Below are 17,886 nucleotides of genomic sequence, written 5' to 3'. Positions count from 1 at the left end.
GTATAATTTGCATGAAATGTAGTTTGTTTTTACATACAAATATTTTACAAATATATCTGACATGAGCCAGAAGAAGGAAGGATATATTCTAAATTTGTACATCTTTTTATTTCCTTCTTCATTTATCAAAATTGATTAGGATTTTGGAAATAATAGAGGTGAAAATTAGGATAAATTCTATTACGAATAGAGATAAACTCTATTTGACTTCCACAGTATGTGCTAATTGATACTCCTTCTACCCCACATCCCCATCTCAATACTCTCTAGGTTTTAAGAACATTTTGTTAAATTAAAGGGAAAAGATTTTAAAAAATCATGTTTGGCTATTATGTCATGTGCAGATGGGCCTTCTCATTACGCTCTTTATTTTATTCCTCTTCATGAATTTGTCAGTTCCTTTCTGATTTTTACAGGAGAGAGTGCACAAGTTGTTCCTTGAACCTTTTTTTCCTTTGTGGATACACTCATGCATCCACATATTTCTCTCTCTGTGTGTGTGTGTGTGTGTATAGACACACATATGCTATGGGAATCTTTTTGGGTGCATTTGTGAACCGTTTGATCAGGACAGTGGGATTCTGATTACTTTGTTTTGTGGTAAGGAATTTAGACAGAATTCTGGAAGTTAATTTATTCAAAATGAGTATGTGAGGGTCAATATAGCAGTATTCAAAGTTGAATGGAATGCCTTAACAAACACTAGTATAAGTCATGGACTGTCAGTTGATTTTAAGATGTTTACAGTGCAGAAAGTTGTGTTTGGCTTATTTCTACAGAGGAAGTAATCTGAGGCAGAGGATACATGAGGTTATCAAATCTTGAGTTATTAAGTCATACATTGCAGAGGTATTTGAACTCCTTACACAGCCATAACTTTTTCCAGGAGTTACAATTGATGCATTTCAAAGAGGGAAGACCAGTTTGTGAAAATGTTTATAGGCACTAGGTTTTTGAAATCTAACATTAAGTGTGGGTTTCGATTGCTAAGAAGTATGTAGACTACATTATTCGCAAAGATCGTGTATACCTTCTATCTTTGCTTAGGATCCTGAAATATCTTATTGAATACAGAATAACTAGTTGAGGGTATACTGAGATTCTTGGAAGAAGTATTCAATATTCATCTGAACGCTTTTCATCCAGTTCTTAGAACAATTGTCTTAGTGCTATGCTAACGTTATAATCTACTGACATAGACTGGACATAGCCAGTGTACAGATAAAATATTTGTTTACTAAAACCTGGTTTAGCTTAGCTAGATATTCTTTGGAGGCTGACAAGGTGCTCAAACAACTTATGTTTAGTGATGGTGATTTGATGGAAATATTAATGAAAATCATAGCATATTGATAACTGGAAATAAAAGCAGCTGGCAAATTCACTTGGCATACAGAAACTAGAGGTGAAAGTTTTAGTCAGGAATTAATGTAGTCTCTGAGGTAAACAACTATTAAATTTATTTGTTTACTTTTAATTACCTGTCTCCTGAGAGCAGACACCTGTCTTTTCTATTCTATATTCCTAATTCCTCGATCAATGGCTAGCACATACGTACTTCTCAATAAATATTTGTTGATTGAGCCAACTACCTGGCAGAGAACAAGAATTACACTTCACATTAAGCAATGGCATATTCATTGCTGTAATCAGAGTAGAAGACTTACAGTAGAAGATTAAGAATTGTAATTGTCTTGCTTTTAAACAAGACATTATTATCTCAGAGGTCATAATTATTTCCTAGAATATAACAACAAATTTATGTTTTGGTAAATGAGGAACATTTTCAAGGCACCAGTTGTTTGAATAAAAATATTATTGAAATGAGAACATCTAATTTTAGGGAAGCAGTTTATTTTTGGAGACTTAAGGTAGTATGTAACATTGGAGATAATGATTATAGAATAATTTAAGTAGTTGCCCTGAATGCAGGATGATCTTTGTTTGACATATTATAGGGGCCAATGCAAGAAATCTGACTTGGATTTGTGAACCAATAATAGTTTATTTGGGATGCTAAGTGCACTGAATAATCTCACAAATCAGTTTAACACTCTGGTTGTCTGCATTCTCACACAACCCTGAGGTCAGTAAACAATGCACTGCCCATAAGTTCAAAAAGCCCCCTGTTCATTTTTCTAATAATTTTACAAAATTATTTGTCCGTATTTATATGATTTTCAAAACCTAATTATCTATGGAGAAACAGTTATTTATTTTTTGTAAGGACAGAAACCTGTTTAATGCCTTAGTGTATATATGGATGTATACTTGTGCATGTGTATGTATGTGTGTATGTATATATTTAGGTAGACATACATAGATATGGGCATATAGATAATATATATTATACCAAAACTTTCACATCTTTCCTAATTAGTGATAGTTTCTGAATAATTTCAGAAGTGATGTGGTTGGCAATTTTGGCAAAAAAAAAATGTTCCTATAGTCAACAGAGAAGAGACTTAGTCTCCATACATTTGATCACCTTCAAGTTCTATGCTTCTATAATATTTAGGGGAAAGTATTTGGAAGAAAATGAAGAAGGGCCATATTTTGTGACTTCCTCTCCAGATAACTACATACCCAATACTGTATTTCTCCAGAAGTTTCTTTTAGTTTCCGCAAGTTTTGTTTTGTTTGTGATGATTTGGGACAGGGCTATGAAATTTCATGTATGTATGTATATTATTGTGGTAAGAACACGTAACGTGAGATTTACCCTCTTGTCAAACTTTTAAGTGCACAATACAGTATTGTTAACGATAGGCACAATGTTGTATGGCAGTTGTGTAGAACTTGCTCATCTTGTATAACAAACTGCAGTTGACCCTTGAACAACACAGGAGTTAGGGTGCTGACTCCTCACATAGTTGAAAATCTGCCTATAACTTGATGCCCCTAAAACTTAGCTATTAGCCTTCTCTTGATTGGGAGCCTTACCAATAAAATAAACAGTCATTTATTATTTCTTTACAAGATGAATCACCTTTCTCAGATGGCAGTCAACCACAGCTGCAGACATGAAACTATAGTAACATATTTAGCAATTAAACTTTTTCTTGTAATGTTATGACTTCTCTGCTTCTTGGGAACACTTTCAGCATCACTAATTGCACTTTGTACGGGTCCCATGGTATTATTCAAGGTTTACAGTATTGCACTGAACATGATGAAAAATATGCAAGAACCTTGAGAGATCACTGTTTACTGTGATACGAAGTTTACTGTAGAGATGATCTGCTCACACATGGAGATGGTTAGCATCATATGACATTTTAAGTGGGTACTCACAACACGTGAGCTTACTGCAATACCAACAGGAAGTGGCTACAAATTTATTACAGTACTGCAGTATGTACTACAGTGAGTTTTATGCAGTTATGATTTAATACTGTACTTTTACATTTGTTTACATTTCTCTCAACTTTGGTGCCATGTACATTCTGTATTTGTGTGGTAAGTTTTGATAATTTTAACTTTCTATAATAGATTTTTTTTGTATATTTTATGGTAGTAAATGATAAAAATAGACTAGTATCTACATATATTTTATACATTTATATATACCTTTTTCTTATTTATTTATTTATTTATTTATTTAGAGACAGGGTCTTGCTCTTTCACCCAGGCTGGAGTGCCATGGTGCAATCTCGGCTCACTGCAACCTCTGCCTCTCAGGTTCAAGCAGTTCTCCTGCCTCAGCCTCTTGAGTAGCTGGGACTACAGGCATGGGCCACCACACCTGGCTAATTTTTTTCTATTTTTTTATAGAGACAGGGGTTTTGCCATGTTGCCCAGGCTTCTTAATTTTTTTTTATATGTCTTAGGCTATGTGGTTTGTCTATAAGTTTTTTCAAATTGTCATGTCTCCAAATATTTACCAGTGTATTTATTGAAAAAAATCTGTGTATAAGTGAACCTATACAGTTTAAAATTGTGTTGTTCAAGGGTCAACTATATGTACCCGTTGAACACCAGCTTTCCATTTCTTCTTTCCCACAGCTCCTGGCAGCCACCATTCTACTCTGTTTCTGTGAGTTTGACTATTTTAGATGCCTCATGTAAGTGAAATCATACAGTATTTGTCATTCTGTGACTGGCCTGTTACACTTAGCATAATATCCTCCAGGTTCATATATGTCTTCAAATATGGCAGGATTTCCTTCTTTTTAAGGTTGAAAACTATTTCATTGTGTGTGTGAACCATATTTTCTTTCTTTATTCAGCCATCGATGGACATTTAGGTTATTTACATATCTTGGCTATTGTGCATAATGCTGGAATGAGCATGGGAGTGCAGATGTCTCTTTGAGATTCTGGTTTCAGTTCTTTTGGATATATACCCAGAAAAGGGATTGCTGGATCACTTAGTAATTCTGTTTTTAATTTTTTTGAGGAACCTCTTTACTGTTTTTCATATTGGCCACACCAATTTTTCATTCCCGTCAACAGTATACAGCAGTTCTTGTTGATCAAATCACTGTGGTTATCATTCAGTGATATGCCCTTGATATAGAGATATGCAATATGTGCCTGCCTCAGGTGGCCCATGCTTATTTTGTTATAATTCTTTCCAAATAATTTTAAAAGATGATTTATTTACAAGAAAAAATACCTTACACTTAAAAACTGATTTTCTATTTTTGAATCTTTTAAATAATATTTATTTAAACATAAATATAAATATATATAGTATTTAATATATATTGTCTCTTGTGATTATTACAGGTCTGCATGGTCAGTCTCTTCTTAGAGTTCTTACTGGAAATTTTCTAACAGCCCATTGTACATTTTAAATTTGAGCTTTATTATCTAATTTCTGTAAAGTTGTAAGCCATTTATTTACATTGCAAAGGAAATTACTTTTTTGGAAGTTCTTTTTTTATAAAAATAGCTCTATAATTCATAATCTTTGGAGATACACCTCTCCCACCATCTTTTATGTCAGTGCATTTATAGGGTTGAGCAAAAGATTTTATAGTGGATGACGTGAATATTTTACTTTGAGTCTACAGTGCAAAAGAATAACAACAAAAATGTGTGGGGAATTCTGTTATGAGCTAGCCTGTCTGTGGGTTTAATTTGAATTCACTGAAGAGAGTGGACTTCGTAGATTCAAGTTAATGAGCCATTTCTCTTAAAGTCTTCTGTCACTATGGGATTGCATATAGTTAGAACTGACAGTTGGAAACATGCTGAGATAGGGAAACTAAAAAAACAGCTGTCTCTCTGGGCAAATGGTACCAGCTGGTGAAGCTCTCCAAAGCAAAATATTTTATATAATAAAATAGCTTTCAGAGATCACTGAAGTTACATATTATATATTTAAGGTAAATTTTTTGTTTGTTTGCCTTCATTGAGCCAAAATACTATGATATAAAATGGCAGGTACATTTTATTCAGTTTAAGAAGTCTTTTATTTTATTGACAAGTAATCTCCTTCGCATGTGTTCATTAATTCATAAGCCTTCAGAGTTTACTTTCTAAAATCGTGTGCAGATCCCTGGAAAGGTGTTTTTGTTTCTTGTATAGATTTTAGAAATAAAGACCATTTTTTTCCTGTTAGGTCTTTTCTGGAACAAAATCTATTTTTGAAATGTCTTGAATTGTATTAGTAATTAATAGTTTATGTTTTGTTTTTAACTCACACTTTGAGAAAAGATTTATACCTCTTAATCTTAATTTAAATTTTAGAATTACCATTCTTTTGATATAGTCCAATCTGACTGCTGAAAACTATCATTTAGATTTGTCAAAAATTTTATATTTTATCTAAGTAAGAATCTATTGCTTTTTTTGGCAGAATGGTAATTACTGAATTTTTGGAATGTCAGTATTCTGAGGTGCTTTAGTTTTTGTACATGGCAAAACTGTATAATTAATGTTTGAGTGAAAAGAAATAGGCAAAGCGCTGGTGTATATTACATCCTTCTGTAGAAGTTCATCATGTTACTCATAAGAAAGATTTTAGCTAAAAGTGATAAATCTAATTGAATATATAGTATATTTGGTTGTAATCCACTTAACATCCTGTTTTGGCTTATGAGCTATACTTCTTTGTTTTATTTTACTGATGGTTGCTAGGGGGCTTACAATATGTATCCTTAACTTACCACAGTTTATCTTCATAGAAAATGATGCCACTTCACATATAATGTGAGAGCCTTATAACATTGTATTTCTACTTCTCTCTATATCTGGGTTTCCATCTGGAATCATTTTCTTTAGCTTAAAGAACTTACTGTAATATTTGTCATACCAGTCTGCTGGCAATTAATTTTCTTGGCCTTTGTTTATCTGGAATGGTCTTTATCTTGCTTCATTTTTGAAGGATAATTTGAATGTATGTAGAGTTCCAGGTGATGGGATTATTATTTTTTCTTGGATGACTTTTAAAGTGTTGGTCCATTTTCTTCTGGCTTGTATTATTTCTGTTGAGGAGTTGTATGTCTTATCTTTGTTACCCTCTATGTAATGTGTTGTTTTTCTCTGGCAGCTTTTAAGATTTTTTTTCTTTATCACTGGTTTTCAGTAATTTGATTATGAATGTGCCTTAGAGTTATTTTCTTCCTGGTTATTCTGCTTGTTGAGCTTCTTGGATCTGTGGCCTTACAGTTTTTATCAAATCTGGAAAATGATCTACCCTTATATCTTCAAATATTTTATCTTTTCTCCCATCCACAATTCCTATATTCTAATTACATTTGTGTTAAACTTATTGTCATTGTCCCACTGGTTACTGAAGCAGTGTTCATTTTTTCAGTCTTGCCAATCTTTTATTTGAGGGAGCTTTATTGCTATATTTTCACATTTGCTTATCTATTCTTCTGTAGCATGTAATCTGCAGTTAAATCTATCCATTATATTGCTTATCTCAAATGTATTTTTTTTTCAGTTCTTGGCAGTTCCATTTTTTATTTTTTTAAATCTATTTCTTTTCTCATTATGCTTTTATTTTCCTCTATGTGATTGAACACTTTTGTAATAGGTGGCTTAATATTCTTGTCTCCTAATTTCATAATCTCTATCACTTCTGGTTTGTTTTTATTGACTGATATTTTTCTGGTTATGAATCACGTTTTCCTGTTTCTGTGAATTTCTCTAGTAATTTGTATTGGATGGTGGTCATTGTAAATATTATGTTGATGAGTGTCTGGATATTGTTGTCTCCCTTTTAACAAATGTTGAACTTTATTTTGGCAGCAGGTAAGTTTCTTATAAGCAGCCTGATCATTCTAGGGATAGTTTAGCTCTCTTATGAGTTGTGACCTTTTTCAGGTCACTACTGAATATGAGTATTCCATGAGGCCTTTGCAGACTGGGTAGTTGCAACTCAACTGACTCCTATTCCCTATATGAGCTCTGGGAATTGTTAAGCTTTGAGCTTTCCAGTAAGTTTTCTCCAGTAGTTCTCTTTGTCTAGTCTCCTGCAGTTTCACCTTATGCATATACAACTTAGTATTCAGCCAAAGACTTAAAGGAACTCTTAGGGAGACTTTCTAGAGTTATTTTTCTGCATAAATCCCTTTTCAATCGAATCGTGCCATACAGTTTCCCTGAACTCTGACTCTTCTCAATGTAGCAAGGTCACAGTATTCTCTTTGAGCTCCTCTTCCTTGTGTCACAGCCCAGATACTGCCTTCAGGCAGAAAGCCAGCATGTTTATGGGGCTTATCTCCTTTGTTTTCCTTCTCTCAAGGATCATAGATCTATACTGCTTGTTTTCCCCTATCTGAAACAGTTTAATACATTTTATACAGTTGTCTAGTTGTTTATAATGAGAAGGCATGTCCAGATGTCCAAATACTAGTAACTCTATTATGACTCTGAGTTGAAATCTAACTGAATTTATTGTGCAATTTTTTTTTTTTTTTTTTTTTTTTTTTACTCATGGTAGAAACAGGAAGATTGGAGAAAACTGTTCCCAACCTCTCCTCCTTCAATGGCAGTGGTTGTGAAAGAGTATCTTTTTACTTAAGATAGCCTATCTTTCTTACAATAGTAGTTCCCAGTAGAACCTACATCATTATGTTCAATAGAATAGTCTCTTTCTAGCTCAACAAAGACTTTTCTTGTTAAATTGTTAAAACTCTCCATGTGTAAAGGTAAAAGGAAAGTGGTGAAAATAGTATCATTTTACTTCTGCTATCATTGTAGAGAATAATTATCTTCTTTTGAAAAAATATAAAGAGGCATAGTGTTAATCTATAATGTAGTTGCTGATATTATCTCTCTCACAAATTACTTTAAGCTTTCAGATGGCATAGCAAAGGCTACTCTGAGACATGATAAAATTTTCTCAGTCTACCTGATTTTTCCCCCAATCCCTATTTTTAATGAGTACTTTTTTTAAGGTAAGATAAATAATTTATAGGAAATTTATTGTTTACATGTACAATGTCTGATTTATAACTTTTTTTTCTGGGTTACTGATATGTATTACTAACCTTTTTATTTTCATCTATTGGTCTACCTTAGATGTGTGAACTTTAATGTGTTTCCTTGATTATTCTAATAAAAATCAGCACAAAGTCATTCAAACATGACTATTTGCCTTTGAGATTGTTTGTTATAAATGTTTGCTTTAACAGAGTGAGAAGGAAACAAGAAAAGATAAAAGCTAGTGGAATTCCTTACCCAGAGGCCTAACATAATGATGATGTTATACTGAGTGCCTGAGTTCAGGAACCATGGACTCTTCATTTTTCTTGGTTTTGAAACATGGATGTTGGTATTATTAACAGAAACAGAAAAAAATGGGCTCTGTTGTTTTACATCAAATCATCTGAATATACCCAGTATTAAAGTTAAAATCATATACATTTATGTAGTCAGGAAATGAATCTAGAGCAGTGCTCTTAATAGTGTGCATCACAGAGACGATGTGGATCAGACCGTTTTTTCCTTTTGGTCCACAGGGCAAAGAATATTGTGGAAAGGATCCGTAGTATATAAGTGGTGCTGTTTAGGCCAGGGGCTCTTAAACAGGGGATTGGGATGATAGGATTTAAAGGTTGTGGTCTGTTAATCTAGATGGCTTCTGTGGAATAGAAATCACATCTTTGATTTTACTAACCTCTAACCTAAATTTCTTTTAATTATAAATGGAGGCATAAAAATAGTAATATTAACAGCCTTGTGACTTTGTCACAGATAGAAATCACATATGTTCTCATATATAGTAGTTATAGTTATATTTAAAATGAATTAATAAGGAAGAATGTACATTATATCATAAATTTGGTATTTAAAGTATTTTGCACAACTTTATTCCAATATAATTGGTTTATTTTATAGTCTTATATCTTATTTTTGTTTTAAAAACATTATTCTGAGAAGAGTCCATCGACTTCATCAGTCAGCCAAGAGGATTATGCCACACAAATTAAGAGTGTCTGGTTAAAATTTCTTGTCTTATACTTTGACCATCTTTTGTAGTTAGTTTGTCTGCTAGTATATGTTACTAATAGCCCTTTAATTTCCAGTTTTGCATCTCACTCTCCCTCTCCCTCAGCATCTTTATTTATTGAAAGACTTTGTAACATAGGAAAAGTAATATACACGTTTAGAAAATAGACTCTAGACTCCAGGGCAGGTAGATTGCCTAGGTTTGAATCCAGACTTCATGACTTATTTAGATGTGTGACCATGGGTGGGTTATATAACCCTTTGACTGCCAAGGGTTCCTGGAAGGACCTTTACTTTATGGGGTTGTTGTGAAGATTTGTTGTGAATGGAGAGTTATTAAAGGACCTTATGTCAGTATGACTGCTTTGCAAATGTTTGCTACTATTATTACTATTTACTCAGAAAATATTTTATTGCCATTACATGAATTGGCTTTAGACATTCAGCCCAAGACAAGTATATAGTTGCTACTCTTTGAAAATTTAAAGTCTGGTGTCAAAAACAGAGCTTGGAAAAGGCATTATTAATTATTTAAGTGTTAGGAAGGAAGTGCAAGTTTCTTAGCTATGTCTTGAGGATAGATTGGGGGCCAGGCAAGGGAGATGTTAACGTAAGCAAAGAATGGGAGGAGCATTCAAAGCAAAGCAACATCATTTGCCAAGGTTCTGGGTGAAAAGATCCTGCCACTTCTGAGAATATAAAAGAAAGCCAGTGTGGCTACAAAACGAGAATGAGAATGGTATAGGATTAAATATGAGAAATAGATAGGGACCAGATGAGGGACTTGTAGGATTTAAGGATTTGGATCATTATTCTAGGGGCACTGGGAAGCTACTACATTTGCATTTTTAAAAGGAGTAATACATCTGCTAAGAGGAGATTGGGTCTGAAGGACACTGTTAGATACAGTAAGATTTGTTAGGAGATTACAGAAGCAAGGAAGAGATAATGACCTGTTGATATGACTAGAATGGCGATAGTAGAGATGAGGAGATATGGAGATATTTCCAATATGAGCTTGAGGGACTTGATGAATGAATGTAAGGGGAGGATGAAGGAGGAGGTGTTAAACACTTAGGCTTATAGACTGAGCAGTTAGATGGCTGGTAGTGCCATTTGTGGAGCTGATTAACAGAATGGAGGAGGAACAGCTTAGAACGTATACAGATGGATTTAGTTTGAACATACTGAGGCTCTTCAATAAATGTTTGAATATTTAAGGTGCCTGAAAAATCACTAGGAGGAGATACCAATAGTTAGTTGAATACATACAAGTCTGATTCTCTAGTGAGTTATTTAAGAATCTGGTTATTGGGAAGAAAGGGTGGGATACAATAAGGACTCTTCTTTAGAGCAGATAAAAGGAAAATATGAGAACAACTGATCTGAAGCAGCTCTAAATGGAGGACAGCTGGGGATATAGAGTAACACCTTAGGGGATGCTAATGGAAAGTTGGAAGAATGAATATTTTCTCAAAGATATGCCGAGCAAGTAGTCACTTCAAAAGATTTTTAAAAACCTTTTAGAATGTACCCCACAAGAATGAAGTATAAGAGGTTTAAAGGGGAAAAATGGAGTTGAGATGGAGATAATTTTAGTGAAATTTAAGATGTAGTTCTGACTTAAGAGGATATGAATCCAGGGTAAATGTCCTTTGGTTCTAATTAGACCACTCATTGCCATTCATTCATATCATAGTCTCTTTAATGTAAAGATGTTGGAGTAGCCCTTTTAGGTTTAGCCAAACTGATATTATTGAATAATATTAAACTTTAATTATTAAGAACTTTTATGTTTCTTTCTTTCTTCTTTCCTCTGACTCTTCCTTCTTTTATTATTCCTTCCCCCTCTCCCACCCTACTCCTTCTAGGAGGCGGCTAGGATGGAAGTAGAGTTTGGATAAATAGGACATTAAGAGGGAAAGATGACCTTTTCTAAGAAGTTAGGTTAACTTACAGGGTCGATCTTTATTTTAAATGATTCTAAGTCCCAAGATGATAATTTTGTGTATATTTAATTTTAATAGGATTCAATAAACAATACTTAATGTTAAGTTTTTCTTTTTTTTTAAATTTTTTTAGTATTTATTGATCATTCTTGGGTGTTTCTCGGAGAGGGGGATTTGGCAGGGTCATAGGACAATAGTGGAGAGAAGGTCAGCAGATAAACATGTGAACAAAGGTCTCTGGTTTTCCTAGGCAGAGGACCCTGCGGCCTTCTGCAGTGTTTGTGTCCCTGGGTACTTGAGATTAGGGAGTGGTGATGACTCTTAACTAGCATGCTGCCTTCAAGCATCTGTTTAACAAAGCACATCTTGCACCGCCCTTAATCCATTTAACCCTGAGTTGACACAGCACATGTTTCCGAGAGCACCGGGTTGGGGGTAAGGTTATAGATTAACAGCATCCCAAGGCAGAAGAGTTTTTCTTAGTACAGAACAAAATGGAGTCTCCTATGTCTACTTCTTTCTACATAGACACAGTAACACTCTGATCTCTCCTCTCCCCACACTTCCCCCTTTTCCATTAGACAGAACCGCCATCGTCATCATGGCCCGTTCTCAATGAGCTGTTGGGTACACCTCCCAAACGGGGTGGCAGCCGGGCAGAGGGGCTCCTCACTTCCCAGACGTGGCGGCCGGGCAGAGGGGCCCCCCCACCCCCCAGATGGGGCAGCCGGGCAGAGGCGCCCCCCACCTCCCAGAGGGGGCAGCTGCCGGGCGGGGGCGCCCCTCACCTACCAGACACGGTGGCTGCCGGGCGGGGGCGCCCCCCACCTCCCAGATGGGGCGGCTGCTGGGCGGGGGCGCCCCCCACCTCCCAGATGGGGCGGCTGCTGGGTGGAGGGGCTCCTCACTTCTCAGACCGGGCAGCCGGGCAGAGGGGCTCCTCAGTTCCCAGACGGGGTCGCGGCCAGGCAGAGGCGCTCCTCACTTCCCAGACTGGGTGGCGGCCGGGCAGAGGCGCTCCTCACCTCCCAGACGGGGTGGCGGCAGGGTAGAGACGCTCCTCACCTCCCAGACGGGGCGGCCGGGCAGAGGCGCTCCTCACATCCCAGACGGGTGGCCAGGCAGAGGCGCTCCCCACATCCCAGACGATAGGCGGCCAGGCAGAGACGCTCCTCACTTCCTAGATGGGATGACGGCCGGGAAGAGGCGCTCCTCACTTCCCAGACTGGGTGGCCGGGCAGAGGGGCTCCTCATATCCCAGATGATGGGCGGCCAGGCAGAGACGCTCCTCACTTCCCAGACGGGGTGGCGGCGGGGCAGAGGCTGCAATCTCAGCACTTTGGGAGGCCAAGGCAGGCGGCTGGGAGGTGGAGGTTGTAGCCAGCCGAGATCACGCCACTGCACTCCAGCCTGGGCAACATTGAGTACTGAGTGAGCGAGACTCCGTCTGCAATCCCGGCACCTCGGGAGGCCGAGGCGGGCAGATCACCAGAGGTCAGGAGCAGGAGACCAGCCCGGCCAACAGGGCGAAACCCCGTCTCCACCAAAAAATACAAAATCCAGTCAGGCGTGGCGGCGCGCGCCTGCAATCCCAGGCACTCGGCAGGCTGAGGCAGGAGAATCAGGCAGGGAGGTTGCAGTGAGTGGAGATCGCGGCAATACAGTCCAGCCTCGGTAATAGAGGGAGACCGTGGAAAGCGGGAGATGGAGAAGAGGGAGAGGGGGAGACCGTGGAAAGAGGGAGAGGGGGAGACCATGGAAAGAGGGAGAGGGAGAGAGAGAGGGAGAGGGCATGTTTTTCTTAGTGAATATTTTTGAGAAGCATTAAGTAACTTAAAAATTGATTGATTAAACCATGATAGATCCACACAATGGAATGTTGCTATGACTAGTAAAAAAGAATGAAGACAATCTCTATTACTGACAGGGGAGTTCACCAGGGTAAATTTTTAGGTGATAAAGTAACACAGCACATTTAGTCTGCTATAAGAAAGAGGGGATAATAAGACTACACTGTGCAACACAGAGTGTTTAGTGTACTGTCCTTTTTTAAGAAAGAAGAGAAAATAAAAATTTTATATGACTGTATTGGCTCAGAGAAACATTAAAAGGATGTATAAGAAACGGATATTAAGATTTCCTGTAGGAGATAGAATGAGGGTGAATACAATGGAGGAGGACAGGGATGAAGGAAGTGAGACCTCTCAATGTATATCATGTTATATTGTTTTCATTTTTAAATTGTGAATTTTACAATACAGAACTTCCTTTTTAAAATATTGTTTTTCATATAGTTCTTTATAAAAAGTGTCACATGTCTGCAGGCACTACTAATTAAATTTTTTTCATTCATTCATTATTCATGTATTGTGCACCTGTATTGTGGTTTATGCTACAATGAAGTAGGATATAATTCTTATTTATAAGGTGCTTATAGTTCAGTACACAAATGAGAATATGAGATAATCATGATGGAATGACACATGTTAAAAGAAGGGCACAGAATTCATTGGCAAAGTCAGTAAAAACTTCAGTTTGGAGGGTAGTATTTGATTTGAGTTTTGGGGAATTGAAGACAATGGGGAAGTTAAGATAATTTTATATAGGGGATAAACAATGGCACAAAACAACAAAGTATGGCATTTACTTCAGTTGTCTTGATTTTGACAAACAACAATGGGTGAAAATATCCGTAAGTATAGTTGTAGTCTTGCAACATTTTAAGAAATTAAAGTCTTTTGATGAAAGCAAATTGTTATTACCCTATTTGTCATCTGCTGCATTTTTATTGAAATAACCTGTGGCTAAAGATGCAATGTCAGTAGCATCTGAACTAGAAATATGAACAGTTTGAGAAATTTTAAAATAACTTTTTGTTTTGTTATATTTTCACACTTATATATATGGTTCCTTGTAATTATGTAAATTCCTGTGTTATATATTACTTAATCTTTTTCTGAAACATTTGCATATTTTCAAAACATTATCCCCCTTTACTACTAATATATTTGTGTATATTTCTTAAGAACAAGAACATTCTCTTTATAATTATCAGAATCAAGAAATTTTGCATTAATAAAATATTATTCTATAGATTATGTTTAAATTTTGCTAATGTTGCATAATATACTTAATAAATAGCTACTTTTCGTGAAGTACAGGATCAAATCCAGGTTCACACATTGCATTTAGTTGTCATGTCTCTTTATTCTTTAACAACTCCTTATCTTCTCTTTATCTTTCTTGACCTTGACATTTTTTGAGGAGTACAGGGTATTTGTAGAATGGCTCTCAATTTGAATGTTATATGTGTTTTCTCATGATTCGATTCAGGTTATGCATTTTTGGCAGAAGTACTTTCGAAGTGATCTTTTATCCTCCAAGCATGATATCAAGAGCGTGTGATTTTGACCTGTTCCAGTATTGGTGATGTCTTTCAGATCTCACCACAAAAGTACTATTATTTTTCTCTTTGTAATTAATAAGTAATTTGGGGGAAGATACTTGAAACTATGAATCTTTTACCTACTAATTTTAGCATCCATTGATTTTCTAACTATGTCATTTCCTCTCTATGTATTAGTTGGGATTCTGCTGTAAGGAAGAGCATTCTTCCTCCTTCCCTTTTACTTTATTTATATCATTATGGACTCATAGATTCTTGTTTTATTTAAAAGGTGATATGATCTATTGCTGCCATTATTTTGATGCCTAAATTATCCCAGATTTAGCCAGAAGGATCCTCATCAGGCAGATTTCTGTGTTCTTTTAAAATGTATAAGCCACTCTTTCAGTATTTTCTTAATTTTTGGTACAAAAAATACTTTTTAGATTTATCTTGTACTTTCTGTGCTCCAGGTCTTGAATGAGCCTTTTCTCCAGTGAGCTCTGACTCCTCTTAGTGGGGAATTGGACATGGACACACACACACACACACACACACACACACACACACACACACACACACACACACACACACCTCTCCACAGCCATAAACAACATAATGATGTGGTCAACAATGGACCACATATATAAGGTGGCTCCGTAAGATTAAAATATTGTCTTTCTACTCTACCTTTTCTATGTTTAGGTGTGTATCGGAGTCTCACTTTGTTGCCCAGTCTGGAGTACAGTGGTGCAATCTCGGTTCACTGCAACCTCTGCCTCCTGAGTTCAAGCGATTCTCCTACCTTAGCCTCCCAGGTAGCTTGAGGCTACAGGTGCATGCCACCATGCCTGCCTAATGTTTGTATTTTTAGTAGAGGTGGGGTTTCGCCATGTTGGCTAGGCTGGTCTTGAATTCCTGAACTCAGGTGATCCGCCCACCTCAGCCTCCCAAAGTGCTGGGATTACCGGCATGAGCCACTGTGCCCTTCCCTTTTTAGGTATATTTAGATACAGAAATACACCCTTATGTCACAGTTGCCCACAGTATTTAGTACGGTATCATACTGTACAAGTTTGTAGCCTAGGAGTAGTAGGCTATACCATGTAGCCTAGATGTGTAGTAGGTTGTGCTATCTGAGTTTCTGAAAGTGCAGTCTATGATGTTCATACAGCAACAAAGTCACCTAATGATGCATTTCTCAGAATATATCCCCTTCACTAAGTATTGCATGACTGTTTAGACACATGCACATGCACACACCTGCCCCACCCCAAGATCTGTGCATTGCTAGTGATGCCGGTGCTTTTAGGCCCTCAGCAAATATATTTGTGTGTCTGTGCATGTACATACATATATATTCAGCTTTTACTTTCTGCAGATAGGTAAATTTAGAAGTAAATAGGATGCAGTATATATATATTTATTTATATCCATTTTATCTGTATACATATGTGTATATGTAGTAGAAAATAGGAGTGCATACTGACATCAGCGCAAGGAATTTTCAATTTAATTTAATTTTGAAACTCAGATGAAGCCCTGAAACAGAAAAATGAGACCTGACAAAGGAGGAAATATAGGTGATTTTTTTTCTGCCTTCCTCTCATTGCATTCCCAATATCACAGCCTGAAAATATTGAAGGGAAGATTACTTTTTTTTTGTTTTTGAGATGGCCAGGACTCTTCTATTCCTCTTCTTGGCCAGTAATATGAAATGGATGCTGAATTACCACTCCTAGCAATGTGAAGTGACTAGGTAATGTTTTCTATTTGTATCTGGAGAGGTAAAGTTGGCTGTTAGGAAGGAGTAGAGACTGAAGGGACTGTGGGGGTGGTGTACTCTGCAGACTTCAGTATTTTTTTCAGTGCTTCTTTCAGTGGAAGTACTACAGATGCTCAGATTATCTAGTGATGAACTTCATTGCTTATTGTGACATGAGTTAACTTTGGATTTAATCATGCTGGATTTTAGCTGCAGTATTTTTACATATAAACACTGAATAAAATATCATAAAATACCCAAAATTAACCTCGGGCCTGTTCATATTAGCTACCCTTTCACCCTAAAATCTAAGAATACCATGTATATTAAATATTTTATTATTGTTTATTAAATATTATATTAAATATTTTAGTCTCAAACTTATGGGATTGAGAAATCTCCAGAAAGAATTGGGAGGGTAAATGGATAATCATCTGTGTTTCAGGGTTCTCTTTTAGAGTCTGTTTCTGTTAATGTATTAATAAATGATTAAAAATAGTTAAAAACCAACAAAAATTTGTTAAGTACATTGTTCTACTTGGTTTTGAGTTAGGATTAAGTAAAACTACAGTCTTTCTTCTCAAGGAACTTACATCAAGCAGAGGAAATGAGACTTAAATATAATAATCAGGACTGGGCATGGTGGCTCATGCCTATAATCCTAGCACTTTGGGAGGCTAAGGTGGGTGAATTGCTTGAGCTCAGGAGTTTGAGACTAGCCTGGGCAACATGGTGAAACTCCATCTCTACAAAAAATACAAAAAATTAGCCAGGCGTGGTGGTGCAGGCCTGTAGTCCCAGCTACTTGGGGAGCTGAGGTGGGAGGATCATTTGTGCCCAGAGGTCAAGGCTACAGTGAGCCGAGATCGCGCCATTGCACACTCCAGCCTGGATGACAAAGTGAGAACCTTTACCGAAAAAAAAAAAAAATTAAGAAATACAGTAATCAGAAAAGTAAAAGCTAGTGAATAATTATTTGCTGAGTAGACTTTGGCTGACAAAGGAAATCAGAGAAAGGCAAATATTTTAGGGGAAAAGCTCTATGAAGGTGGTATGCCTTAAGCTTATTTTTAAAAATATGACTATAATGGAGAGCTATAGGCATATTATCTTTTGATAATAGAACTATGAGTCAGAGACCTTAAAATAAATATTTAAAATGCTTGAAAACATTAAAAAGGTTAACAAAATATTTTAAAAGAATAGATTTTAAATAATACCAAATGAAATGTATATAAATCAAAATATAGTCAAGTTAAAATTCAACAGCCTACTTAAATAGAAGATTAGACATAGCTGAAGGGAGAGTTGGTCTACTAGAAGATAACTTATCTCAATAAAATTACTTAGTATATAGCTCAGAAAGATTTTAAAAA

At 36.4% G+C, this 17,886-nt stretch overlaps 1 protein-coding gene across 35 annotated transcripts in view, besides 1 other annotated feature; it reads left to right on the top strand.

Annotated features, from left to right (window-relative positions):
- ARB2A (ARB2 cotranscriptional regulator A) overlaps positions 1–17,886 on the top strand; it is a 493,975-nt gene that overhangs the window by 113,190 nt on the left and 362,899 nt on the right. The window lies entirely within an intron of this gene.
- Positions 7,619–7,819: a silencer, noted in NCBI's record as "peak5355 fragment used in MPRA reporter construct". NCBI's record gives its function as "represses an SCP1 promoter by STARR-seq MPRAs in K562 erythroleukemia cells {active_cell/tissue: K562}" and the evidence as "EXISTENCE:reporter gene assay evidence [ECO:0000049][PMID:32103011]".

Source organism: Homo sapiens, chromosome 5 (genome assembly GCF_000001405.40).
Source record: "Homo sapiens chromosome 5, GRCh38.p14 Primary Assembly".
Classification (NCBI taxonomy): domain Eukaryota; kingdom Metazoa; phylum Chordata; class Mammalia; order Primates; family Hominidae; genus Homo; species Homo sapiens.
The sequence above is the reverse complement of the archived record's forward strand: the minus strand, read 5'-3'. Positions and strand labels throughout refer to the sequence as shown.